The 27,949-nt window shown below is 38.7% G+C and overlaps 1 protein-coding gene and 1 long non-coding RNA gene across 2 annotated transcripts in view; one reads left to right on the top strand and one right to left on the bottom strand.

Annotated features, from left to right (window-relative positions):
* The window catches only part of SPANXA2-OT1 (SPANXA2 overlapping transcript 1), a 147,091-nt gene that overhangs the window by 65,052 nt on the left and 54,090 nt on the right, over positions 1-27,949 (bottom strand). The window lies entirely within an intron of this gene.
* SPANXA1 (sperm protein associated with the nucleus, X-linked, family member A1) lies at positions 150-1,214 on the top strand. Its single transcript, NM_013453.3, has 2 exons — positions 150-281; positions 929-1,214. Exons 1-2 carry the CDS (start codon positions 210-212, stop codon positions 1,148-1,150), a joined length of 294 nt encoding a protein of 97 aa, NP_038481.2. The 5' UTR covers positions 150-209; the 3' UTR covers positions 1,151-1,214.

Raw genomic sequence — 27,949 nt, 5'->3', positions numbered from 1 at the left:
GAGTGGTCAGCAGTGGGGCTTTGTGATGTGAAGCCACCCTAGGGCTGCCATTGGCTGGGACACTGCCTGTATGATCAAACAAAGCTCAAGGGTGTGGCTTTGCCTTGTCACCAGGAGGGTATACATAGGGAGGGCAAGAGCTCCGGGCCACTGAGAAGATTCAAAACCTACAAAAGCCTGCCACTGACATTGAAGAACCAATATATACAATGGACAAACAATCCAGTGCCGGCGGGGTGAAGAGGAGCGTCCCCTGTGATTCCAACGAGGCCAACGAGATGGTAAGACTGTTAGGTTCTGAAGTGAAGGCGAGGGTGAAAGAAAGACACACAGAGCGGGGGCGGCTCAAACAACAACACAGGAATATTGCAGACCATTGTGGAAGTGGGGGGCCCGCTTAATGCCAGAGCCCACCGCCGCTTACAGGCTGGGGTGCTTGTAGGTAGGGGTGGGAGGGGCCTGGGCAGTATGGCTTGCTGCCCGGCAGGATATTGATAAGATGTTCTTATGATCAGGTGGTTTGGCCCTTTTTCTGGTGGAATATCATTGTGGTGTTCCTTAGAACGCTGCCAAGCAAGATATGATAGGGATGTTTCTTCAGTTGGGCCTTTGTCCGCCTTGCGGACAGGTGGTTAGGCAGGATGTTTCTCACGGCCTGAACCCCCATGGGATGTTTCACTTTGACCAAGGTCTGCAAAATAGCAAAGAACTGACAAAATGGTGCAGTTTGGACTCACAGGTGACCCTACCCACGCTCCTCTTCTTCTTCCCCATAGATCCCTACTCTGTGCTTCAACCTTCTTCTTCTCTGGATCAAACCCCTTCCTCAACCCGCATTCCTTCTTCTCATGAAGTCCCCTTGCTATCCAGTCTCTATCCTGTTCACCCAAAATAATGTCCTCCTGGCCTCTCCCTGCTTTCTTAACAGATGCCGGAGACCCCAACTGGGGACTCAGACCCGCAACCTGCTCCTAAAAAAATGAAAACATCTGAGTCCTCGACCATACTAGTGGTTCGCTACAGGAGGAACTTTAAAAGAACATCTCCAGAGGAACTGCTGAATGACCACGCCCGAGAGAACAGAATCAACCCCCTCCAAATGGAGGAGGAGGAATTCATGGAAATAATGGTTGAAATACCTGCAAAGTAGCAAGAAGCTACATCTCTCAACCTTGGGCAATGAAAATAAAGTTTGAGAAGCTGATGGCTGTGTATATCTCTGCCTGTTTTCTGATGGTGGCGGGGGAAGGGAAGGGAAGGGAAGAGGTAGGCATTTGAGAAGGGAGGGATATGAGGTCCTGTAGGGTTGGTGGACAGACCCACAGGTTGACAGTAAGCCAGACATTGTAAATAAGGCCTGGGGGAGGACTGATTCCTAAAGAAAATTTTCTTCTTAAAATTTTATCTCACAGGAAGTGGAGATGTGTATATGTTCACGCAACTGTACCCGGCAGCACATAGTTCTGCTGAATGGACATATCAAAGGTATTCCCATCCCCTTTCCATTTGATATTTTCCTAGGCTAGAAATAGATGCTTTATAAAGAGCAAATGTTCTGTAAAACACAAAGCACAATACAAAAGAAGATAGTAGATGTAGGAGTAAGTAAACGGCAGGAAAGCATTGCTTGTGATGAAATGATTGAAAAGCCAATTCTAAAACAAAATGTTCAATGCATCTTAAATATTTGTTAGTGTTTTAATGACCTCAGCAGTCTTTAATCAAGATAAGTATACTTTAGAAATGTGTTGATATCCGCAAAGGGTGAATATTCAAAATCGCCATGACTTGGGAAAAGGAAAGTAAAACACTCTTAAGTATGAGGAGCTTTTTCCCATGGAATGTGAACTGCAAGGTGGTGAGAAGGGTTAGGTGTGATGTGGTGAGATCATTTTTAGGAGAGTGTGTCTATTATCGGCTTCCTAACACTTCCATTTTGCATGATAATTTCCTGAAAGTCATCATTTAATTAAGGCTATAGATTTTGATTACCATGTGTCTTAAAATGTCAAACAGTATAATATTTATACTGAAAAAGAAAACTGCTTGGTGGATACACATCGGTTAGCGGGAAAAGACACCACAGGGATTCACCATGGAGTCACCCGTGGATGGGGTTTTAGTTTCTGTCTTTGAATTGACCTTCACATAGTGTCTACCTCTTGAGAGTTCAGGGGTGTTGGAGAGATCATTAGGTAAAACAAGAAGGTCTTCTCAGGATACATGAGGGAGTTAAATAGAAATGCAGGAGCAATTACAATTTTAGTTATTTGTAACTGTTGTTTGCTAAGTCATAACACTGTCATGGATAACATGAAAAAATAAAATATACTAAATATCAATAGACAAAAACCAGTTTGCTTTTCTCCAACCAAATACCTAAATACCTAGCACTGATTTCCGGAACAAAATCCCACACGTACCATCTTTGGAATAAAAGAATATTCTTTCAAGTTGTCGGACCACAAGGTAAAAACAAAAAATCCCAATGCTTTTTTTCTTACTCTTTGATATGTACAATTGAAGGTATTCCTCATTGCAAACTACTATTTCCACCCAGCACGAGACATTAAAGAATTTTTCATATTTAGGATAGTAATACGGGATCACATTCTTTAGCCTTAGGCATTGCAGAGGAAAAACAAACAAAACCAAACCAAAACTAAGCTGAGAGAGGCGGAGCAAGAAAAGCAGAATAGAAGGCTGCCCAGATCAGCCCCCTCGCAAGGACACAAATTTAACAACGATCCACACAGTAGAAAACACCTCCATAAGAACCCAAAATCAGGGGAACTCTCATAGTACCTGGCGGTATCACTGAAAGAGGCACTGAAGAGTTAGAAGAAACAGTCTTAAATCGCTGACCCCACCCCTTCCCTATCCTAGGCAGTGGCAGTATGGTGTAAAGAGCATCTCTGGAAGCTGGACGAGCAAGAGCAGAGCAGTTGTGGGTCGCTGACCTCGGTGCTGTCTCTTACAGGAGAAAGGAAAACCAGACCAAACTTAGCTGACTCCCATCTGGGAAGGGAGCATTGAAACCACCTCTAGCCAGAGGGAAATTACCCATCCCAGGAATCAGAACTTGAGTTTCTGCAAACCTTGCCACCAAGGGCTAAGAAACGGTTCCAGGTTTCTCAGACAACCTTAAAGGCAGTCTAGGCCATAAGATCTCTAACTCGTAGGTGAGTTCTAGCATAGAATTGGGCCCAGAGGCAGTGGATTGTGGCGGGTATGTGGAGGGGTGCACATGACCTCCTGAGATACCAGCTGGGGCAGCCAAGTGAGTGCTGGTGTCACCCCTGCCCTAGCCCCAGACTGCCCAGCTAGCGGCTCCATAAAAGACCCCCTCCTTCCACTTGAGGAGATGGAATAGTGAGGAGCGTTTTTTTTCTTGCATCTTGAATACCAGCTCAACTACAGCGGGACAGGGCACCGGTCGGGGTTGTGAAGCCCCTGCTCCAGGCACTCGCTCCTGGATAACATTTCTAGACACACCCTAGGCCAGAAAGAAACCTGCTGCCTTGAAAGAAATGAAAAGAGAACACCTATACACTGTTTATGGGAATGTAACTTAGTTCAGCCATTGTAGAAAGCAGTTTGGTGATTTCTGCAAGAACTTAGAAATACCATTCATCTCAGCAATCACATTACTGGATATATACCCAAAGGATATATATCATTCTACCATTAAGACATACGCATGCGTATGTTCTTCACAGCACTATTCACAATAGCAAAGATTTTGAATCAACCTAAAGGCCCATCAGCAGCAGACTGGATAAAGACAATGTGGTACATAAACAGCACGGAATACTATGCAGCCATAAAAAAACGAGATCATGTCTTTTGCAGCAACATGGATGGAGCTGGAGGCCATTACTCTAAGCGAACTCACGTGGGAACAGAAAATGGAATACCACCTTTTTCCATTTATAAGCAAGAGCTAAACATCGGTATACATGGACACAAAGAAGGGAACAACAGACACCCGTGTCTACTTGGGGGTAAAGGATGGGGAGGAGGGTGAGGGTTGAAAAGCTACCTATCAGCTATTATGCTGATTACCTGGGTGATGAAATAATGTGTACACCAAACCCATGTGACACGCAACTTCCCTTTATAACGAGCCTGCACATGTACCCCTGAACCTAACATAAAAGTTAACAAAAATTTAAAAATAAAATAATAAAAAATTAAGAAGTCTCACAGAGGTAGAGCGTAGAATGGTGGTGACTAGGGGCTCGGTGGTGGTGGCTGGAAAGACATTGCTCAAAGGATACCAAATTTCTGTTAGACTGAAGGAATAAGCTGCAGAGATACATTGTACGACACGGTGACTACAGGTGATCATAATATGTTGTATTATTGATAAATGCTAAGAGAGTAGATGGTAAGTGTTCTCAATACAAAATGATAACTTTGTGGGATGATGCATATGTTAATTAGCTATATTTATTCATTCTACAATGTATATACTTCAAACATTAGATACATGATAGACACATTCCATTTTATCTGTTCAGTTTAAAATAATAAAAATAAAGAAGAAAGACATGTCCAAGTGTTCTGCCTGGGAAGATGGGCCTGAGAGAGTCTTACATAGTTAATCATGTACTATGTTTTTCTGTGCAGGACAGCAGAGGGAGAGGGGCTACCTGAGAGCAGCACATAGTCACTAAATGGCCTATAACAGCTCTACTTCCTTTCTTGAAGAATCAGAATGGTGAAAGAAACCAGTTTGATGTTTCTCATGCCCCTAAGAAGGACACTAAAGTGTTTTAAAGAGAGTTGGATCTGAAGGTGCCCTGTGGTTGGGCTTGAGGGATGACATGAAAATGTTCTGCATGAATCAGCCATTTAGGGCCAGATGGGATGATACGCATCTCAGGAGATGTTCGATGGATACAACATTGGGAAATTCTGAGATTCTGAATTGATTAAGTGTGAGACTCATGCATATTAAGTGCAATTACATAAAATGGCATTGCATTTCTCATTCGGCCAAGCATTGTAACCAGGTATATTCATGTGCCAGCTGTTTCAATAAAAAGTGGTATCTCTCACAACCATTTGCATTCCAATACAATTTTCTGAATGTAAGAGAAAGAGATATAGTTATAACCAAGGTGTTCATCAATGAGAATAGTTTGCATCTCATCTTCTCTATTCTGCAGAAAGGCCCTTGAAGAGCATATTGCATCATTTTCTTCATGGCCAAGAAAATCAAGAATCACTGATCTGGCCAGGTGCAGTGGCTCATGCCTGTAATCCCAGCACTTTGGGAGGCCGAGGCGGGCGGATCACCCGAGGTCAGGAATTTGAGACGAACCTGGCCAACATGGTGAAACCCTGTCTCTGCTAAAATACAAAAAAAAAATTAGCTGGGCGTGGTGGCGGGCGCCTGTAATCCCAGCTACTGGGGAGGCTGAGGCAGGAGAATTGCTTGAATCCAGGCAGTGGAGGTTGCAGTGAGCCGAGATCGTGCCACTGCACTCCGGCTTGGGTGACAGAGCCAGACTCTGTCTCAAAACAACAAAAACAAAAACAAGAAATCACCGATCCATTTGAAAGTCAGCAAATATTTTGTCATTGACTAAATATGGACCCTAGAGAGTGATCCCCATACACCACACTACAACTTAAGACTGATTCTATTTCTTAAGCATCCTTTGGAGGTCATCACGTTTTTGAACTCTTGTAATAACAGGGGACTTCAACGCATTTCAGACAGCAAACCTCGTCCTGTGTTATCTTATGCTCTGGGAGGAATCTAAAAGACAAGGAAGTAAGGAAGAAAGAAAGGAAGGAAGGGAGGGAGGAAGGAAGGGAGGGAGGGAAGGAGGGAGGGAGGGAGGGAGGAAAGGAGAAGAGGAGAGAAGAGAGGAGACGAGCTTAAACCTAAATTGGTAGAAAGCTTCACAAGTCTGAATACTTAACAAGTTAAATTAAGTAGCTAAAGATGTTTTTGAAAATCATCTGAGCAAACAAAAAATGATTCTGAAAAATATTTGGTAATGTAATAATGACAATGGGTTATTTCTTCTATCCTTGATCTCCTACAAATATATTTTAAGCCAGATCATGTTTTTCCTTTGATGAAAACTCCACAGAGTTTTCATCTTCATGAAAATAAAATCCAAATTCCTAATAAGGCCGTACATGATGTGGGCACCTATTACCTCTCTGACATTAATACTTATTCTTCTCGTGAATCACTCTGCTTCTATCACACTCCCCAATCTGTGACTCTTGTAACTCACCATGCATGTGATTCCTCTAACCTGCCATCCATATCAGGGTCTTTGCATACTTCTGCCTGGAAGCTTCTTCTCTAAAATATCCACTATGTATCCTAATTTTCTTTTCTTTTCTTTTTCTTTCCTTTTTTTTTTTTTTTTTTTTTTGAGATGGAGCCTTGCTTTGTCGGCTAGCCTGGAGTGCAGTGGTGCACTCTCGGCTCTCTGCAACCTCCACCTCCTGGTTTCAAGCAATTCTCCTGCCTCAGCCTCCTGAGTAGCTGAGATTACAGGCGCCTGCTACCACGGCTGGCTAATGTTTGTAGTTTTAGTATAGATGGGGTTTCATTGGTTGGCCAGGCTGGTCTTGAACTCCTGACCTCGTGATCCACCTGCCTTCGCCTCCCAAAGTGCTGAGATTACAATCGTGAGCCACCACGCCCAGCCTGTGTATCCGAATTTTCTTAAGGTCACTAGTCAGACGTCACTTTATTGGAAAGGCTATCCTCCATTTAATGGTGAAGACGTTAAATGGTACTTGTACTTCTTTCCAAAAAAATGATACTTTTATCAGTTATTTTACTACAGTACCTGGAACATGTAAACTTGCAAGCAATATTTGGTGAATGAAATATTTGGTTAACCTGAATTTAGTATTGCAGTCTTCATTACTAGAAAGCATTTACATGTTTTAACTGTCAGGGAGCAACACTGGTAAGTGATTAATTCCCTATCAATAAAATGGATAGAGTACTATTCATGCTACATGTTCTCACAGTTGTGGCAAGGGTTATTAAATTGCCAACTGTAGTACTAAACTTATATTAATGTTGTACTCGTTAGTATTACTCTTGTTATGTTCAGAGGAAATATGGAATAAAAGTAAGATCATGGGCCTGGTTCAAATCTGAAATTCTGCTACGTCCTAGTCGGGTGATGTAGGTCAAGTTTCTTAACTCCTCTGAGTCTTAGATTCTTCGTATGAAAAATGGAAAAAATGCTAGCACCTACTTCTCAGGATTGTTTTGAAAAACAAATTAATTAATATATTTAAGCTTTTAGCACAGAGCCTAGTACATAGTGTATGTTCAGTAATTACAAACTATTACTAGTGAGTATAATAGGATGTGAAAATTCATGACATCAAACAACTAGAACCGAGATTTATATATACACACACACACACACACACACGCAGACATATGTACACACACACACACACACACACACACACACACACACACACATTTTTTTTTTGCAACAGAGTCTAGCTCTGTCGCCCAGGCTGGAGTGCAGTGGCGTGATCTCGGCTCACTGCAACCTCTGTCTCCCGGGTTCAAGCAATTCTTCTGTCTCAGCCTCCTGAGCAGCTGGGACTACAGGTGCGTGCCACCATGCCTGGGTAATTTTTTGTATTTTTAGTAGAGATGGGGTTTCACCATGTTAGCTAGGATGGTCTTGATCTCCTGACCGTGTGACCCACCTGCCTCACCCTCCCAAAGTGCTGGGATTACAGTGTGAGCCACCACGTCTGGCCAGATTTTTGCAATAGAGAAAGCACTGGACATCATTTTATCATAGAATATTAAAGCTGGAAGAGACCATAGGATCATAGGAACCCACAGTCTCTTGCAAGAATCCAGGTCTCCAAACTCAGAAACATGCTGATTGTTCCTTCCTGAAAATGCACATTAGGCATGGCATAGCTTTTGCAATCAGTGACGATACCAAGGCATCAGGGGCTAGAGGCTTAGGACATCACTGACAAAGCAGGAGTATTGCCATCTTGAACAAGCTCTGTCATTTTAAAATTCACCTTAATCAAAAACCGCCAAAATCCAAACGGCATCAGCCTAATGGCTAAGGTCAGCATGACCATAAACCGCAAATAACATCTCCAACCAGAAACATTCCAGACTCCTCCCCGACCAGAGACAAGCTAGCCCCAAGATAACCCCACCCTGGCCAGGAAGATGCCAGCCCCAAAATAACCTCCTCCCCTCCACCCAGAGGCGTGGTCTCGGCTCACTGCAACCTCTGCCTCCTGGGTTCAAGCGATTCTTCTGTCTCAGCCTGCCAAGTAGCTGGGACTACAGGCGCTTGCCTCCGCACCCGGCTAATTTTTCTATTTTTAGTAGAGACAGGATTTCACTATGTTGGCCCAGCTGGTCTCGGAACTCCTGACCTCAAGATCCGCCCACCTCGGCCTCCCAAAGTGCTGGGATTACAGGCGTGAGCCACCGTGCCCAGCCGCGTTTATGTTTTTCTCTTCATAAATTTTGTTTTCCTGGAAAAGGTTTTTTCCTGATCGACTAAATTACTTTTCTCCACTCTGTCTTGCCACTCTTGGTGCATGTATGAAAGACCCTGAAATGACTCCTGGTGGCCTGGGACTCCTTGGGAAAACAAAAAAGGTGCCACAAATCCCGTTTTGGGAAAAACCTCTGTTTTCCTTATGAAACCCCTAGACTTAAATAAGTACCTCTCAAAGATCTGTCTTTGTCTTCCAACTGTACTTGTTCATTAGGCCCTAGAAACTGTTTTCTTAGCCCTGTTCCTAAAAGGCCTCACCCGAAGGCCAATAATCCAATTGGAAAATTAGCAGAAAAAAAATCTTATAACTACTAAGTCTTCTTCTGATTGTCTGTGTGGCTATATATGTTTTATGTGTGTGATGTCTATTAAAAGAACTCTAATTAACTGGCCAAAAAAATAAGCACTTAAATCAAATATTTTTAAGGGAAAAGTAAAAGCTGTGGGACCTTTCAGTTCTCGTAATTTTAATCTTTAGAACTTACCGGTACAGCAAAGTTAAAAGTTGAGTTGAAAGTCGTTAAGAGGTGCCAGCGTACGTTTTTATTTGCATTTATTAATCAAGCAATTTCATACTTATGGCTGCAAAATACTATAAGGTGTCAACATTTGGCACAGAGGCTACAAAACGACAACTCAGCCCAAACAAAATAATCTTTGCTTGTGTAATTTTTTCAATAAATAAAGCATGAATATTGGTTTAACGAAGATAGCTATATCTTTAACTATTTAGTAAAATATGCTAACTTCCAACCTTGTGGCCTTAGGCAGTCTAGTCCACAGACATGAAGGAAATTTGTTTTGGGAAAGAACTGTTATCATCTTTAATATTAAAGAAAAGATAATTGGTATAAGAAAGAATCTCACATGGTAAATTTTTGTCCTAAAGTAAATTAACTGTTGTTTAAAAAAAGGGATGACTTTACAACAAGTCAGAAAGGTAAGGCATGTCAGAAATTGTCTGTGAAAGTCGTGAAGAATTTTATAAAAGGGAATTTGTGCAAGAAATGTCGCACAATTTAAAAGTAATTCGGCCTCCTGAATGCTGTATACAATTTCACTCTAACTCTTAGCTGTACAGCTTGCCTGCTTTGCAGCTGAATAAACCCTAGGACACATGGAGTTAAATGCTGGAATAAACCAGACCTTCTCCGCACTTCCGTCTGGGTCCTAGGCCCTACACCTAGTGCGTAATTAGATTCCCAGACTTACCAAGGTTTTCATCAAAAGTAAAGGTTGCTAAAAGTTAGCAGTGTAACACGTATTTAAAACTACCGAAGAAATAGTTTATGAGCAAGGTGTGTAAGGAAAGTAAAATATACTTTTGGTAAAAAGATTATAAGGAGGCCTAAGAATGTGGATTTTTGCCTACATTAAAAGGTTAAAAAATTGTTTTAAAGGTTTAAGCAACTTTTGGAAGGTTAATTGTAAAGAAAATTTCGTGTGTGTACATACTGGCTAAAGTTAAAGGGGTATCATTCAGGTTTTCTGTAAATCGAGCATTAAAATAAAAGCACAATGGGTTTCTGTTAAAGCACTAACCTGCTCTTTAACAAAAAGTATAAACGGTTAAAAAGGGTCTATAAAAACCTTACCTTCCGGTCAAACATGAACATTGGGTAAATGCGTCTACAAGGTTTTATGAAAAATGGAGCTTAACATTAATAGCACACTAATACAATGGTAAAATTCGGCTTATTTGATATAAAATCATACAGGAAGCATTGTCAAATATAAAATGGTATTTGGCTTTCTTTGGGCTATAGTTGTATAAATATGCTATTGGGATGTGTTCCAAAGTTATGGCAGATTCCTATCATTCTAATATATCTTAGTGTACGTTATCACTAATAATTATAATTGTTTTGTTAAAATTATTGTGTGCCACAGAGGTAACGGATATCTTTGTCAACTGTGTCTTTAACTATGGCTACCCTAAAACTTTTTGTCATCCATAAACAATTGTTGTCTTGTTTTAGTCCTCTTCAAAGGGTGGTTTTCTAATCAGCTATAAAGCTCTGAATGCAGGTTTCTGATAAAAAGCAGGACAGGAATTAACTGCATAAACCAAACTAATAGGAAACTAATCTGTTTAACGTTTTGCTTAAAATATTGCTATCCCTTTGTTTTACCTTTCAAAGTCAAAGAAACTTTTTTTAAGCGATTAACAGCTTTTAACTGTTTAACTTTTAACTGTTAACTCCCATCAACAAAATTTGGAGGATACTTGTTTCTCTCTACCTGATTCTCTCCAAAATTTGGAAACTATCTATGAGTATTCTTAACTTATGGCAATATAGTTATTTGCATAAATACAACAAGAATCTGTTTTCTTTTGTAACGGGACACGATTGGAAAAACTGGTTATTCTTACCAAGGCTTTAACTGGAATGGTGTGCTTTTCCTTTAAGGAATCCAGCTTTAACTTATAAAGCCAATAAAGCCCTTGAAAAACTGGCCTCATATTTTGTGTACACAGTCCCCGTACAGGGGTTGTGATCTGTGGTAAACAGAACATGTCACTTTCTAACAGGCCAGGAACCCTAAGTTATCTTGAAACATCAAGAGGAGAGGAATTCACCCAAGTCATAGGTATTTAATGGTACAAATCCATGGCTGGGCTTGGCTTTCAAAAGTCTTTTATCTCAGATTGCTTCTACAAAACCAAATTCCACCAAAGCCCATTTAAAAGGCCTATGTAACAAATAATTATTCTTGCAGCACTGTATGCAAACAAGTAAGCCAAGTATCCTAAAGCAAACCTACCATAATTTGTCTTTTAATAAAAATGGGAAAGTGGAGAGAGGAAATTATGTTTCCAAAACTATGACACACCTCTTGTTAAATTCTAGAGTTGCCTGATGTTTTTCAGTTATTATTTGCTACTGTTTAATTAAATTCTAATTTTTCTGACTACAAGACTTCAAAATAAGCTGTGCTTTCTTAAAGCCCTATAAACTGGAAACTAGATGTTTCAGCAGGCACTGCCTCTAAGCCCCCTAACCCTCACAGGAGCAAATAAAGAAATAGGAAATCGTAAGCTAAAAATCATAAAAAATAAATAACCGAGAAAGAATTGCTCGTCTTACTCAGTCTCACCCCTACCTCACCAAACACTTTTGTCATTCCTATCTCTCCTTTCAAGCCAAATATTACAACTTTTTAATGGAAATTATTGACTACACCACCCTTGTGGAAACTGCTTTACTCACCCTACTATTTGCAGTAAAACTATATACTGTAGCACCCTCAGGGTAAAATGTCAGACAAAAACAATCTCAATTACTGTAGCATTTTGCTTAATTATTAGCCTCTTAGCAGGAATAACGCTTACTAACAGAAACTAACACATGGGCCTTTCCAAACATGTGCTTCTACCTCTCATTAGGTAAGGAATATTGTTTCTTTATCAACCAATCAGGCCTAGTAAAAAAACGCTGCTAAAACAAACATAAAGAAAAGGCTAAAAAGCTAAGGGAGTACCAAAACAACCAAATAAGTTCTTGGTTTGGGAACACAATCATAGCATGGGTCATCCTATTTCTGGGCCCTCTCCTAATAATATGCCTGGGGCTAATTTTCTTACCCTGCCTAATTAACCTTTCTCGGAAAATTTTAACTAACAGGATCACGGCCATTTCACAGACAACTACCCAAAAACATCTACAGACGGCATTGCTCCTACTGTCAACCCAAAAAACTCTCCGTCCCCTCGTCAGCAGGAAGTAATTTTCATTTCAGGGAGATCTTCCAATTTATTCACATACAGTTTCCCACGGTCACCACAAGAGCCCTTTGAATTTTTGCAGCTTTAGCCTGTAATGTCTCCTTTCAATTTTGGAGTTTATTTATCTCGATCTCTCCTTTTTCTTCCTTAGATTGGCTACAGGTTTCTCAATTTTGAATAGCTTTTTAAAAAAAAACCCAACTTTTTGTTTCCTTGATAGTGTTTTGACTTTCTTCATTTTACTTTCATTTATTTCTGCTCTGGTCTTTTATTATTTCTTTTCTTCTACTGATTTGGGGTTCACTTTGAGCTTATTTTTCTGTTTTTTTAAGATGCGTCATGAATTATTTGCAGGTGTTCCTCTTTTTCAATGTAGGCACTTATAGCTATAAACTTCCCTCTTAATACTGCTTTTGCTGTATCCCATGGGTTTTGGTATGTTGTGTTTCCATGATCATTTATTTTGAGAAATTTTACAATTTAGTTTTTAATTTCTTCATTGACCTGTGGGTCATTCAGGAGCATATTTTTTTTTTAATTCTATGGATTTGTATAATTTTCAAAGTTCCCCTTGTTATTTTCGGGATTTTCTTTTTTTGTTTTTTGGTGGTCAGAGAAGGAGCTTGATATTATTTCAATTTATTTGAATGTTGATGTTTTAAGACTTGTTTTATGACCTAACATATATTCTAACCTTGAGAATGATCCACGTGCTGGGTAAAAGAAGGTGTATTTTGCAGTCCTTGGAAGAAGTGTTTTGTAAATGTCTGTTACATCCATTTGGTCTGTAATGTACATTAAGTGTGATGTTTCTGTGTTGATTTTATGTCTGGAAGAACTGTCCAATGCTGAAAGTAGGGTGTTGAAGCCCCCAGCCATTATGCTATTGGGACCTATCTCTCCCATTAGTTGTAATAGTGTTTCCTTTATATACCTTGGTGCTACAGACTTGGGTGCACATATATGTAAAGTTCTTATAGCCTTTTGTTGAACTGATCCCTTCATTATTATATAGTGACTTTTTTTCCTCTTACATTTTGTGTCTTGAAATCTATTTTGTTTGCTAGGAATATAGCTAATCCTGCTTCTTTCTGGTTCCATTCGCATGGAGCATCTCTTTCTATCCCTTTATTTTCAGTCTATGTGTGTCTTCAGAAGTGAAGTGTGTTTCTGGCAGGCAACAGATCAATGTGTCTTGTTTTTTCATACATTCAGCCAGTCTATGTCTTTTCATGGAAGAGTTTAGCCCATTTACATTCAATGTTACTATTGATAAGTAGGAACTTACTCCTGTCATTTTGATTTTTATGTTCAGATGTTTTTGTGATCTTATCTTCCTTCTTTCTTTCCTTTCCGTCTTTTCTTAGGATGATTTTTCTGTGGGTAGATGATTTAGTTCCTTGCCTTCGAATTTTTGTGTATATATTGCATGTTCTTTAGTTTCAGGTTACCTTGAGGCTTGCAAATAATATCTTATAAACCATTATTTTTAATCTGATATTTACTTAAGACGATTTTGACAAACAAACAGCAAACAAAAATAAAACTAATAAAGCTGCATCTTAACTTTGTCCCACCGCTAATTTTTTGTCATTTCTTTCTGTATCTCATTGTGTTGACTGTGTCTTGAAAAGTTGTGCTTTTACATTTTGATTGGTTTATCCTTTAGTCTTTCTACTTAGAATAAGAGCGGTTTACACACTACAGTCACTTTTTTATAATATTCTTTCTGTGTACTTACAATGACCACTGAGTTTTGTACCTTCCGTTGATAACTTATTGTTCACTACCGTCCTTTTCTTTCTGATTGAAATACTCCTTGTAACATTTCTTGCAGGACAGGGCTAGTGATGATGAAATCCCTCAGGTTTTGATTCTCTGGGCCCATTTTTATTTCTCCTTCATGTTTGAAGGATAGTTGTTGCAGATATATTATTCTAAGGTTAAAATTTTTTTCTTTCAGCACTTTAAATATGTCATGCCACTCTCTCCGGGCCTGTAAGGTTTCCACTGAAAAGTCTGCTGCCAGACATATTGGAGCTCCATTGGATGTTATTTGTTTCTCTTCTCTTGCTGCTTTAAGAAAAATTCTTTATCCTTGATTTTTGGGAGTTTCATTACTGAATAACTTGAAGCACCCTTCTTTCAGTTAAGTCTCCTTGGTGTTCTATAACATTCTTATACTTGGATATGTGTCTCTTTCTCTGGGTTTGGGAAGTTCTCTATTATAATCTCTTTGGAGAAACTTTCTACTCCTATGTGTTTCTGTACCTCCTCCTTAAGGCCAATAACTCTTAGATATGTCCTTTTGAAGCTATTTTCTAGATCCTGCAGACATGCTTCATTGCTTTCTACTCGGTTTTTCTTTCGTCTTTTCTGACAAAAGACTATTTTCAAATAGCCTTTCTTCAAGCTTATTAATTCCATCTTCTGTTGATTGATTCTGCTATTAACAGAACTTGAGAGATTCCTCAGCCTATCACTTGCATTTTTCAGCTCTACAATCTCTGCTTGATTCATTTTCATTCTTTGAAACTTATTGTTAACTTTCTGTCTCGTTGATCTGTCTAATGTTGACAGTGGGTTGTTAAAGTCTCCCATTATTATTGTGTGGGAGTCTAGGTCCCTTTGTAGGTCTCTAAGGACTTCCTTTATGAATCTGGGTGCTCCTGTATTGGCTGCGTATATATTTAGGATAGTTAGCTCTTCTTGTTGAATTGATCCCTTTACCATTATGGAATGGCCTTCTTTGTCTCTTTTGATCTTTATTGGTTTAAAGTCTGTTTTATCAGACACTAGGATTGCAACCCCTGCCTTATTTTGTTTTCCATTGGCTTGGGAGATCTTCCTCCATCCCTTTATTTTCAGCCTATGTGTGTCTCTGCACGTGAGATGGGTTGCCTGAATACAGCACACTGATGGGTCTTGACTCTTTATCCAATTTGCCAGTCTGTGTCTTTTAATTGGAGCATTTAGCCCATTTACATTTAAGGTTAATATTGTTCTGTGTGAATTTGATCCTGTCGTTATGATGTTAGCTGGTTATTGTGCTCCTTAGTTGATGCAGTTTCTTCCTAGCTTCGATGGTCTTTACAGTTTGGCATGTTTTTGCAGTGGCTGGTACTGGTTGTTCCTTTCCATGTTCAGTGCTTCCTTCAAGAGCTCTTTCAGGGCAGGCCTGGTGGTGACAAAATCTCTCAGCATTTGCTTGTCTATAAAGGATTTTATGTCTCCTTCACTTATGAAGCTTAGTTTGGCTGGATATGAAATTCTGGTGAAAATTCTTTTCCTTAAGAATGTTGAATATTGGCCCCCACTCTCTTCTGGCTTGTAGAGTTCCTGCTGAGAGATCAGCTGTTAGTCTGACGGGCTTCCCTTTGTGGGTAACCCGACCTTTCTCTCTGGCTGCCCTTAACATTTTTTCCTTCATTTCAACTTTGGTGAATCTGACAATTATATGTCTTGGAGTTGCTCTTCTCGAGGAGTGTCTTTGTGGCGTTCTCCGCATTTCCTGAATTTGAATGTCGGCGTGCCTTGCTAGATTGGGGAAGTTCTCCTGGATAATATCCTGCAGAGTGGTTTCCAGCTTGGTTCCATTCTCCCCATCACTTTCAGGTACACCAATCAGACGCAGATTTGGTCTTTTCACATAATCCCGTATTTCGAGGAGGCTTTGTTCATTTCTTTTTATTCTTTTTCTCTAAACTGCTCTTCTCGCTTCATTTCACTCATGTGATCTTCCATCACTGATACCCTTTCTTCCAGTTGATCGCATTGGCTACTGAGGCTTCTGCATTCGTCATGTAGTTCTCGTGCCTTGGTTTTCAGCTCCATCAGGTCCTTTAAGGACTTCTCGGCATTGGTTATTCTAGTTAGCCATTCATCTATTTTTTTTCTGAAGGATTTTAACTTCTCTGCCATTGGTTCGAACTTCCTCCTTTAGCTCGGAGTAGTTTGATCGTCTGAAGCATTCTTCCTTCAACTCGACAAAGTCATTCTCCATGCAGCTTTGTTCTGCTGCTGGTGAGGAGCAGCGTTCCTTTGGAGGAGGAGAGGCACTCTGATTTTCAGAGTTTCCAGTTTTTCTGCTCTGTTTTTTCCCCATCTTTGTGGTTTTATCTACCTTTGGTCTTTGATGACGGTGACGAACAGAAGGTGTTTGGGGGGGATGTCCTTTCTGTTTGTTAGTTTTCCTTCTGGAATTGAACTCAGCTCTGCACCAAGTGGACCGAATAGACATCTACAGAACTCTCCACCCCAAATCAACAGGATATACATTCTTCTCAGCACCACATCGCTCTTATTCCAAAATTGACCACATAGTTGGAAGTCAAGCACTCCTCAGCAAATGGAAAAGAACAGAAATTATAACAAACTGTCTCTCAGACCACAGTGCAATCAAACTAGAACTCAGGATTCAGAAACTCACTCAAAACCACTCAACTACATGGAAACTGAACAACCTGCTCCTGAATGACTACTGGGTACATAACGAAATGAAGTCAGAAATAAAGATGTTCTTTGAAATCAACGAGAACAAAGACACAACATACCAGACTCTCTGGAACACACTCAAAGCAGTGTGTAGAGGGAAATTTATAGCACTAAATGCCCACAAGAGAACGCAGGAAAGATCTAAAATTGACACCCTAACATCACAATTAAAAGCACTAGAGAAGCAACAGCAAACACATTCAAAAGCTAGCAGAAGGCAAGAAATAACTAAGATCAGAGCAGAACTGAAGGAAGTAGACATACAAAAAACCCTTCAAAAAAACCAATGAATCCAGGAGCTGGTTTTCTGAAAAGATCAACAAAATTCATAGACCGCTAGCAAGACAAACAAGGAAGAAAGAAGAATCAAATAGACACAATAAAAAACAATAAAGGGGATATCACCACCGATCCCACAGAAATACAAACTACCATCAGAGAATACTATAAACACCTCTATGCAAATAAACTAGAAAATCTAGAAGAAATGGATAAATTCTTCGACACATACAACATCCCAAGACTAAACCAGGAAGATGAATCTCTGAATAGACAAATCAAAGGATCTGAAATTGAGGCAATAATTAATAGCTTACCAACCAAAAAAAGTCCAGGACCAGATGGATTCACAACCAAATTCTACCAGAGGTACAAGAAGGAGCTGGTACCATTCCTTCTGAAACGATCCCAATCAACAGAAAAACAGGGAATCCTCCCTAACTCATTTGATGAGGGCAGCATCATCCTGATACCAAAGCCTGGCAGAGACACAACAAAAAAAGAGAATTTTAGACCAGTATCCCTGATGAACATCGATGCAAAAATCCTCAATAAAATACTAGCAAACCGAATCCAACAGCACATCAAAAAGCTTATCCACCATGATCAAGCGGGCTTCATCCCACGGATGCAAGGCTGCTTCAACATACGCAAATCAAGAAATGTAATCCAGCATATAAACAGAACCGATGACACAAACCATATGATTATCTCAATAGATGCAGAAAAGGCCTTTCACAAAACTCAACAACCCTGCATGCTAAAAACTCTCAATAAATTAGGTATGGATGGGACGTATCTCAAAATAGCAACAGCTATCTATGACAAACCCACAGCCAATATCATACTGAATGGGCAAAAACCGGAAGCATTCCCTTTGAAAACTGGCACAAGAGAGGGATGCCCTCTCTCACCACTCCTATTCAATATAGTGTTGGAAGTTCTGGCCAGGGCAATCGGGCAGGAGAAAGAAATAAAGGGTATTCATTTCGGAAAAGAGGAAGCCAAATCGTCCCTGTTTGCAGATGACATGATTGTATATCTAGAAAACCCCATCGTCTCAGCCCAAAATCTCCTGAAGCTGATAGGCAACTTCAGCAAAGTCTGAGGATACAAAATCAATATGCAAAAACCACAAGCATTCTTATAACACCAATAACGGACAAACAGAGATCCAAATCATGAGTGAACTCCCATTCACAATTGCTTCAAAGAGAATAAAATACCTAGGAATCCAACTTACAAGGGATGTGAGGGACCTCTTCAAGGAGAACTACAAACCACTGCTCAACGAAATAAAAGAGGATACAAACAAATGGAAGAACATTTCAAGTTTATGGGTAGGAAGAATCAATATCGTGAAAATGGCCATACTGCCCAAGGTAATTTATAGATTCAATGCCATCCCCATCAAGCTACCAATGACTTTCTTCACAGAATTGGAAAAAACTACTTTAAAGTTCATATGGAACCAAAAAAGAGCCCGCATCACCAAGTCAATCCTAAGTCAAAAGAACAAAGCTGGAGGCATCACGCTACCTGACTTCAAACTATACAAGGCTACATAAACCACAACAGCATGGTACTGGTACTAAAACGGAGATATAGACCAATGGAACAGAACAGAGCCCTCAGAAATAATGCCACATATCTACAACCATCTGATCTTTGACAAACCTGACAAAAACAAGAAATGGGGAAAGGATTCCCTATTTAATAAACGGTGCTGGGAAAAATGGCTAGCCATATGGAGAAAGCTGAAACTGGATCCCTTCCTTACACCTTATACAAAAATCAATTCAAGATGGATTAAAGACTTAAACGTCAGACCTAAAACCATAAAAACTCTAGAAGAAAACCTAGGCATTACCATTTAGGACATAGGCATGGGCAAGGACTTCATGTCTAAAACACCAAAAGCAATGGCAACAAATGACAAAATTGACAAATGGGATCTCATTAAACTAAAGAGCTTCTGCACAGCAAAAGAAACTACCATCAGAGTGAACAGGCAACCTACAAAAAATGGGAGAAAATTTTCGCAACCTACTCATCTGACAAAGGGCTCATATCCAGAATCTACAATGAACTCAAACAAATTTACAAGAAAAAAACAAACAACCCCATCAAAAAGTGGGCGACGGACATGAACAGACACTTCTCAAAAGAAGACATTTATGCAGCCAAAAAGCATGTGAAAAAATGCTTATCATCACTGGCCATCAGAGAAATGCAAATCAAAACCACAATGAGATACCATCTCACACCAGTTAGAATGGCGATCATTAAAAAGTCAGGAAACAACAGGTGCTGGAGAGGATGTGGAGAAATAGGAACACTTTCACACTGTTGGTGGGACTCTAACCTCGTTCAACCATTGTGGAAGTCAGTGTGGGGATTCCTCAGGGATCTAGAACTAGAAATACCATTTGACCCAGCCATCCCATTACTGGGTATATACCCAAAGGGCTATAAATCATGCTGCTATCGAGACACATGCACACGTATGTTTATTGCGGCACTATTCACAATAGCAAAGACTTGGAACCAAGCCAAATGTCCAACAACGATAGACTGCATTAAGAAAATGTGGCACATATACACCATGGAATACTATGCAGCCATAAAAAATGATGAGTTCATGTCCTTTGTAGGGTTTGCTGGAAACCATCATTCTCAGCAAACTATCGCAAGGACAGAAAACCAAACACCGCATGTTCCCACTCATACGTGGGAATTGAGCAATGAGAACGCATGGACACAGGAAGGGGAACATCACACACCGGGGCCTGTTGTGGGGTGGGGGGAGGGGGGAGGGATAGCATTTGGAGATATACCTAATGTTAAATGACGAGTTACTGGGTTCAGCTCACCAACATGGCACATATATACATATGTATCTAACCTGCACGTTGTGCACATGTTCTCTAAAACTTAAAGTACAATAAGAAAAAAAAAAGGTGAATCTATTTGCACCTAGAAATATGCTTCTTGGAGTATGACCGATGTCTTGACATTGTGCCCACAAAGGAAGAAATTTAATTAAGCACACCTATTTTTTCAGAGTGAATAATATTTATATAATCATAATAACATACACACTCATGGTTTTCTACCCATACAATCAACTAGCTATAGATTTTAAAAAGTACTTGAGAGTTACATAAATTTAGTGCTTACAGAGCCTCGGTGCTAGCAGCAGGCAAGGATGGGTACAGGAAGGACATAAAGAAAGAAGAAGGAAAGAAATACTGATACTTCATCCTACAAACCAGGGAGTTAAGAAAATCCGTTTCTTGTTGGTAGACAAGAAATGGAAGAAACACAGCCATACATCAGCAAAATTTTTATATACTTTAAAAACCAAATTGTCACTAATTGAAGCTAGATACTACAAATTAATATGTTCATTGCAATCCCCTGAGATACCACAAATAATATACGTAAAGAAACATTAAAATGGTACATTATAAAATGTCTATTTAACACAGAAGAAAAAAGTAGTCAATCAAGAGAGACACAAAAGAGACACCATGCAAACAGAAAGAAAATTTTTAAAATGGCAGACATAGATTCTATCTTATCAGCAATTTCCTTAAAGGTAAATGGATTAAATAACTCAATTAAGAGGCAGAGGTTTCTAGAACATATTTTAAATAGTCCAACTATATGCTGTGTACAACAGAGACACTTTAGATTCAAAGACACAAATGGATTGAAAGTAAAAGGATGGAAAATGATATTCCACGCAAACAGTAACAAAAGAACAATGAAGTGGCCATTGACAAAATAGATTAAAAGGCAAAATTTGTGGCTAGGGACAAATAAGGACATTTTATAAAGGTAAATGTGTTCATCTGTCAAGAATATGTGACGATTATGAAAATATTTGGACCTGGCCACAGAGCCCAAAAATAAATAAACCGAAAACTGACAAAATTGAAGATAGATATAGGACAACTCAGCTGTCATAACTGGAAACTTTAATGTACCACTTTCAATAACGTATAGACAAACAAAAATTTGTTGATTGCCTTCCTTATGTGAAGCACTATTCTAAGCCCTAGGAATACAACGGTAAAAAAAAATAAGAAAAAATAACATTTTTTGCTTTCAAAAAGCTTAAATCCTCATGGTGGTGTGCTATGGTTTTACTATTCATAGCACTTAACATCACTATACCACCTAGCTTAGATTTCATTTCTCTGGTTTGTTTTCTATCGCCCTTCATTGATTTTCTGTTGCTTATAACGTAATAATGAAAACGTGGTAATTTATAACGAAAATGACTTTCTTTCTTACAGTTATGGAGGCTTGGAAGTCCAAGTGGAGGGGCACATCTGGTGGGAGCCTTCTTGCTAGTGTGTTCTCTTTAACGAGTCCTGAGATGACCAAGGGCATTGCACGGCAAGAGGACTGAGTAGGCTAGCATGCTATACTCAGGTCTCTCTTCCTCTTATAAAGCTACCAGTTCCCCTCCCGTGATAACCCATTCATCCATTAACACATTAATCCATGAATGGATTAATCAATTCATGAGGCCGGAAGCCTCATAATCCAATCATATTAAAGAGGCCCCACCTCTCACCACCTTTCAATACTGCCACATTGGGGATAAAGTTTCTTTTTTATTTATTTATTTATTTTATTGGGGATAAAGTTTCAACATGGATTTATGGAGGTGACATTCAAACCATATCACAGCACCATGAGAATTTAAGCTTTTTCAAAGGAAAAAATGTTATGTTTTCTTATTTTTTTTTTACCGTTGTATTGCCAGGGCATAGAATAATGCTTCACGTAAAGAAGGCAATCAACAGATTTTTGTTAACTAAATACTATGGAATGAACTAATAAAACACAAGAAAAAATTCCCAAAGTTTTACAGTGTTTTGTTTTTGGAAAACACATCAGTCTATATTAAATAAAGCAATTGAGTATTTTATGATCATAAACATAGGACATAATATCATTGAGTAAAAAACTAAGAATGAGAATAAAAGAATTAGGAAAACTGGCAATATTTTTTAAACATAATGCAAAATATTTATTATAAAGAAGCTGAGGTTATCCATCATACTTTCTGATTCACCAAGATTGTGGAAAGAGAGTCACCTGTTCTGGTAAAAAAAATAAAAAAAAAAATTCTTAAAAAAAATAACCGTGCTGAAAAATAATTTCTAGAGTGCAGCTGTGCATGTTAACATGCCCTTGAAGCACTTACTTGACTGTTGGACGACTGGATTTCAGGAGGCTTGCTTGAAGTCCAGCATGTTTTTAGCCTGGCTTTGGCATAAGATAAAAAACAAGAGCTTTACTCAGGAAAAGCTGACTAAGCTATGCACCTCCTAACTACGCAAAATTGGAAGACTGACTTAACTTTGCTGAGCCTCACTTTCTTATTTATTAAATGGGCCATACTACCTATCCGTGAGAGTTTTGAAAAATAAAGTATCATTTAAAAATCTATGGCTGGGTGCGGTGGCTCACGCCTGTAATTCCAACACTGGGAGGCCGACGTGGGTGGATCACGAGCTCAAGAGATCAAGACCATCCTGGCCAACTTGGTGAAACCCCATCTCTACTAAAAATACAAAAATTAGCTGGGCATACTGGCTCATGCCTGTAGTCCCAGCTACTCAGGAGGCTGAGGCAGGAGAATCACTTGAACCCAGGAGGCGGAGGTTGCAGTGAGCTGAAATCGTGCCACTGCACTCCAGCCTGGGTGACAAACAGCAAGACTCTGTCGCAAAAAACTAAATACATAAATATCGGTCCTAGTTGAGACTCTGTCTCAAAAAATAAACAAACAAACAAAACCTAAATTTAGTAGGTGTTCATTAAACGACAGCCATTATGATTAGTTTTACATGATTATTTCATTGCTCACGATTATACACATGACTGGTTTCGGAGTATGCAATATTATTCCCTTAATGGATCTGCATCTGTTATAATTAAGAAATGTTAGTTATCTAGCTACCAACACATACAAGTTATTTCATGAATAAGGACTGTTACCACTGTGGGGGAAGGCAGTTTTAAGTTTATGTCACAAGGTGACAACTTGAACAAAGTAATTCTCCTTGTGTCTAGGGATGTGGTATAAGATTTTCAAAAGGACAATTCTGTCTTGCTAAAACTTTTGATAGTCTATTGACAGATTGGCAAAGTTAGTGATCAGAGTTTCCTACTTTGTATTTGAATTGAGATGCAGTTTAATTTAAATGTCATCCAAAATAAATTTTTTTTTTTTTGAGACAGAGTCTCACTCTGTTGCTCAGGCCGGAGTGCAGTGGTGCGATCTCGGCTCACTGCGACCTCTGCCTCCCTGGCTCAAGCGATTCTCCTGCCTCAGCCTCCCGAGTAGCTGGAATTATAGGCGCCCACCACCACGCCCAGCTAATTTTTGTATTTTTAGTAGAGATTGGGTTTCACCATGTGGGCCAGGCTGGTCTCCAACTCCTGACCTCAGGTGATCTGCCTGACTCGGCTTCCCAACAAAATAAATTCTTAAAAAGAGAACGACTTGCAATGATCCTATTTTGGCACATTATAATTACATCTTTCATATTACTCCTTCATTTCGATCTTCTCTCAGGTAGAAAAGTATAATTTATAAGTTTTCTGTCTTTTAAACGAAGACACAGTAATCACAAAGGGGGAAAAAATTTGAATCAAGGAATTAGCCAACTTACACCCCAAATAAACCTTATTTTTACTTTGTCAGACTACTGTCTTACTGCTCCCTTCACAGTAGCTCTCAGAGCAACAGTGTAAATGCAAAATAGGGTGTCGTCAAAGAGTGTGGGGTCCTGCTTAGAGTCTTTTACCACATGAGATATAGTGCCATCAAATGCCACGATCTTGCAGAAAAAGTCAACACAATCTGTTCCTGAAACATGCATCTTTTACAACCAAAACCACAGAGGGTATACGTGGTAAACAACCTAATTCTAATGGGGCAAAATGAAGATTTGGGGACAAACACCAGAATAAGCTGTCTTCAGTACTGGTCAGCAGGTTATTTTTATCCTAATTCAAAAAATTTAATTCACTTAACATTGACTGAGTTTGTCATGTACCAGGCAATATGCTAAGTAGGTGCATAGGGAGGATTTGGATAGGACACAGGTGGGCAGGGCTTGACCCTGGTTATCAAGAGACTTGCAGTCTGTTAAAAGATAGAAGCTTATCTTTTGGTTAACTGCTAAACATATTTGGCATATTCCAAGTTGTGTGTTATGCATTTATTCATAAAGTAACTAATCAGACTTTCAAAACAACACCAAGGAGTGGTTACTGCCCACGTTTTGTTTATGAGAAGATTGAGGACCCTGTGGCTAAAGCTTGATGCCACAGGTAACAGATCTAGTAAATGACAGAGCTGGAGTGTGCGTCCTGACCTTCACATTCTAAGTCCAAAAGCTATTTCCACTTTACCACACTTTCCTCCTTATATTTCATGTGTGAAGTGCTATAGGAGAATGATAACGCAATCTAAGAGTTTAAATAAGCCAATCTTTAATCAGAAGTTTTGCCCATCCTTCCTGGGAGAGTTATTTCAACTAGAACTTGTCGGGTAGGCATAATTTCAATAAACAGATGTGAGATGGAACAGAGGGGAGAAAACAGGCCTGTCAACTTGGGAATATCGAAAATGACAGCCGACTTTCGAGCGCAGAGACCCGTAAGGATGATGCCACCATTAACCATCATGGGAAACTCAACCAGGATAAGGCATAAAGCACTTGATATTTGTCAGGACTGCAGGATACCTGCTCCTCTATTTAAAAGATTAAATAATTCAAAGTCCCGTATTATCACATTTGTGCTAGACCCTACGGTATGGAGCTGGGAAAGAGATGAATAAATAGAACTTGCCTTTTACCTTTTAATTGTGTCTCTATCTTATTTATTAACTTTCAAAAGTAATGCATGCTTACTGTTTTTGAAAAAATAAACCTTACAAGATAAGAAAGTTTCAAAAAATTACATTCCTCGACCCCACGTCTACAGCGCAAACGTAATCAAATAGCCTAGTATGCACTCCTGCACTTCATTCGCCACCTCTTACAAACACATGCCAAAATACACACACACACATATGTAAACATTGAAAATCAATTGCATTGAGTTATACTTTATGTACAATAGAATGGAACTATTTAAGTGTACAGTTTGTCATTTTAACAAATTTTTACACCCATGCATTCACGCTGACAATCAAGATATAGAATATTTTCTCTACCTTAAAAATATTTTTGTGGCCCTTTGCTAGAAGTCCTCGCTATTTTCAGCCATATCATTGATCTATTTTTTCCAATAGATTAGTTTTACTTCTTGTACAATCTCATAAATAGGATTATACTACTTGTATACTTTTTTCCTCTGGCTTCTTTTACTTAGCATAATGTGTTTGATATCCATCTATATGTTGTATATAACAGTAGTTCGTTCCTTTGGATTCCTGAGTTGCACTCTATTGTATGAATATACCCCGATGATCCATTACCAGTTGATGGGCATTTGAGTTTATTCTAGATTATTAGCTATTGCAAATGAAATTCCTTGGAACATACATGTGCATGTATAGATGTTGCCGTATATTTTCATTTATGTTGGTGAGCCATAAAGTGAATGTATGTTTATTTTAATTTAAAATGCTCAACTTTTCTGAAAGCTATTATAAATTTTTACTTTCTCACCAGCAATTTATGAGCATTCTGGTTTGCTGCATAACCTCACCAATACTTGTAATTTTCTATCATTTGCCAGTTAGCAATACTACCAGGTGTGAAATAGTATCTCATTGCAAGTATAATGTGTATTTCTTCGATGATTAAAGACTGATAATTACACTTAATGTGTGCCTTGGCCATCTGCATATCTTCTTTTGTGAAGTCACAAGTGTTTTCTCAGATAAGTGTATTGTGAATATTTTCTCCCAATGTGCCATTTCATTTTCTTAATAGTGTCTTCTCAAAAGCAGGAACTTTTAATACTGATAAACCTAGTTTAACATTTTTATTTTCTTGTAGAGTTCACAATGTTGGTGTCCCACATTAGAAATCTTTGCCCTTTACAATGTCATAAACATTTATATTTCCTTCTAGGTCTATTTTTGGACCATCTCTTATCTTCCACTAATTTGTCTATCCTTATGTTAATACCATGCTGTCCTGATTATTTTAGCTTCATATTAAATCTTCAAATCATGTTGTTCATGTCCTGAAACTTTTCTTTTTTTCAGAATAATTTTGAATCGTTAAGTTCTTTTTATTTCCATATGAATTTTTTATCTCAGTTTCTCAATTTCAATTAAAAAAAAAGAACCTGCTGACATCTTAATAGATTGTATTGATCAATTTTAAGAAAACTTACATATTAACAATATTGACTTTTTCAATCCATGAACACAGTATAGCTGTCTATGTATTTAGTATTCATAAGTTTATTTCAGCAGTGTTTAATAATTTTACATGTACAGGTCTTACAAGCACATTTTAGTATATTTACCCATATATATATTTCATACTGTTACAAATGGCATTTTAAATTTTTTAATTTCTAATTCTCCATGCCTAGGATACAGGAATACATCTAATCTTATACACGGTGGCCTTTTGTCCTGTCATGTTGGTAAATTTACTTACCAGTTCTAGTAATTTTTTAAAAAGATAATTTAGGATAATCTATCTATCTATCTATCTATCTATCTATCTATCTATCTGTCTATCTAGAGAGATGTATTCTGTGAATACAGTTTTAATGTTCCTTTCAAAGCTGTATATATCTTATTTGTTTTCTCTTAACCAGAAGGAATTCAGTGTTAAATCATGAGCATGATGTTAGTTTGTTAGTTGGAGTAGTTTTTTCACAGATACAAGTTATCTGACTGAGAGTTTACTTTTCTACCCAGTTTTCTGAGAATTTTTATCATGAATATATAGTGAATTTTCTCACAAGCTTTTGCTGCATTTATTGAGATTTTTTTCTTCCTTCATTGGTTAATGAAGTACAAAGTTTGTTTTTCAAATGATAAATCAATCTCACATTACTGAGATAAAAAACATTTTGGCAAGATGGATTATTCAGTTTGGAGATATTTTGAAGGACTTTTGTATTTGTGCTCATAAGGGAAGTTGTACTGTGATTTTCTTATCTAGTTAGCTTTCTGTTTAGATTGTGTATCACGGTGTATTCGTTTCCTATTGCTGCTTTGAAAAATTACCACAAACTCAATGGCTTAAACCAATAAAATTACATTATTTTACAGTTCTGGAAGTCAGAAATCTAAAATGTGCCTTATAGGGCTAAAGGAGAGGTATCTGAAGGACTGCACTCCTCTGGAGGCTTTAGTGGGGAAGCCTTTTATGGGAGAAAGCTTTTTACAGATTCTAAAGATTGTCTGCAATTTTTGGCTTGTGGTCTTCTTCCAGCAATTACATCACTCCGCTCTCTGCTTCAGTTATCAAATCTCTTCTGACTCTCCTGCTTCCCTTTTCCCTTTAAAATAACCCTTATGATTACAGCGACCCCACAATCCAGGATAAATATTCCATTATAAGCATCTTAACTAATCACATCAGAAAAATTATTTTGATGTGTAAGGTAACATAGTCACAGGTTCTGGAGGTTAGGGCTTCGAAATTTTTGTGGAAGAAGCAAGCATTATTCTTCATACCACACTGATTGATGCTAGCTGATATGGTTTGGCTGTGTCCCCACCCAAATCTCATCCTGAAGTTCCATGTATTGTGGGAGGGACCTGGTGGGAGGTAACTGAATCATGGGAGCAGGTATTTCCTGTGCTCTTCTTTTGACAGTGAATAAGTCTCATGACATCTCTGATGGTTTTCTTTTTTATTTTTTTGACAGAGTCTCACTCTGTCGCCCA

This window comes from Homo sapiens, chromosome X (assembly GCF_000001405.40).
Source record: "Homo sapiens chromosome X, GRCh38.p14 Primary Assembly".
Classification (NCBI taxonomy): domain Eukaryota; kingdom Metazoa; phylum Chordata; class Mammalia; order Primates; family Hominidae; genus Homo; species Homo sapiens.
This window is presented reverse-complemented; position numbering and strand designations above follow the sequence as displayed.

Coding starts and splice junctions, on each gene's coding strand:
- SPANXA1 (NM_013453.3), top strand. CDS start 210: ATGGACAAACAATCCAGTGCCGGCGGGGTGAAGAGGAGCGTCCCCTGT. Junction 282..928: donor CCAACGAGGCCAACGAGATG/GTAAGACTGTTA, acceptor CTTTCTTAACAG/ATGCCGGAGACCCCAACTGG.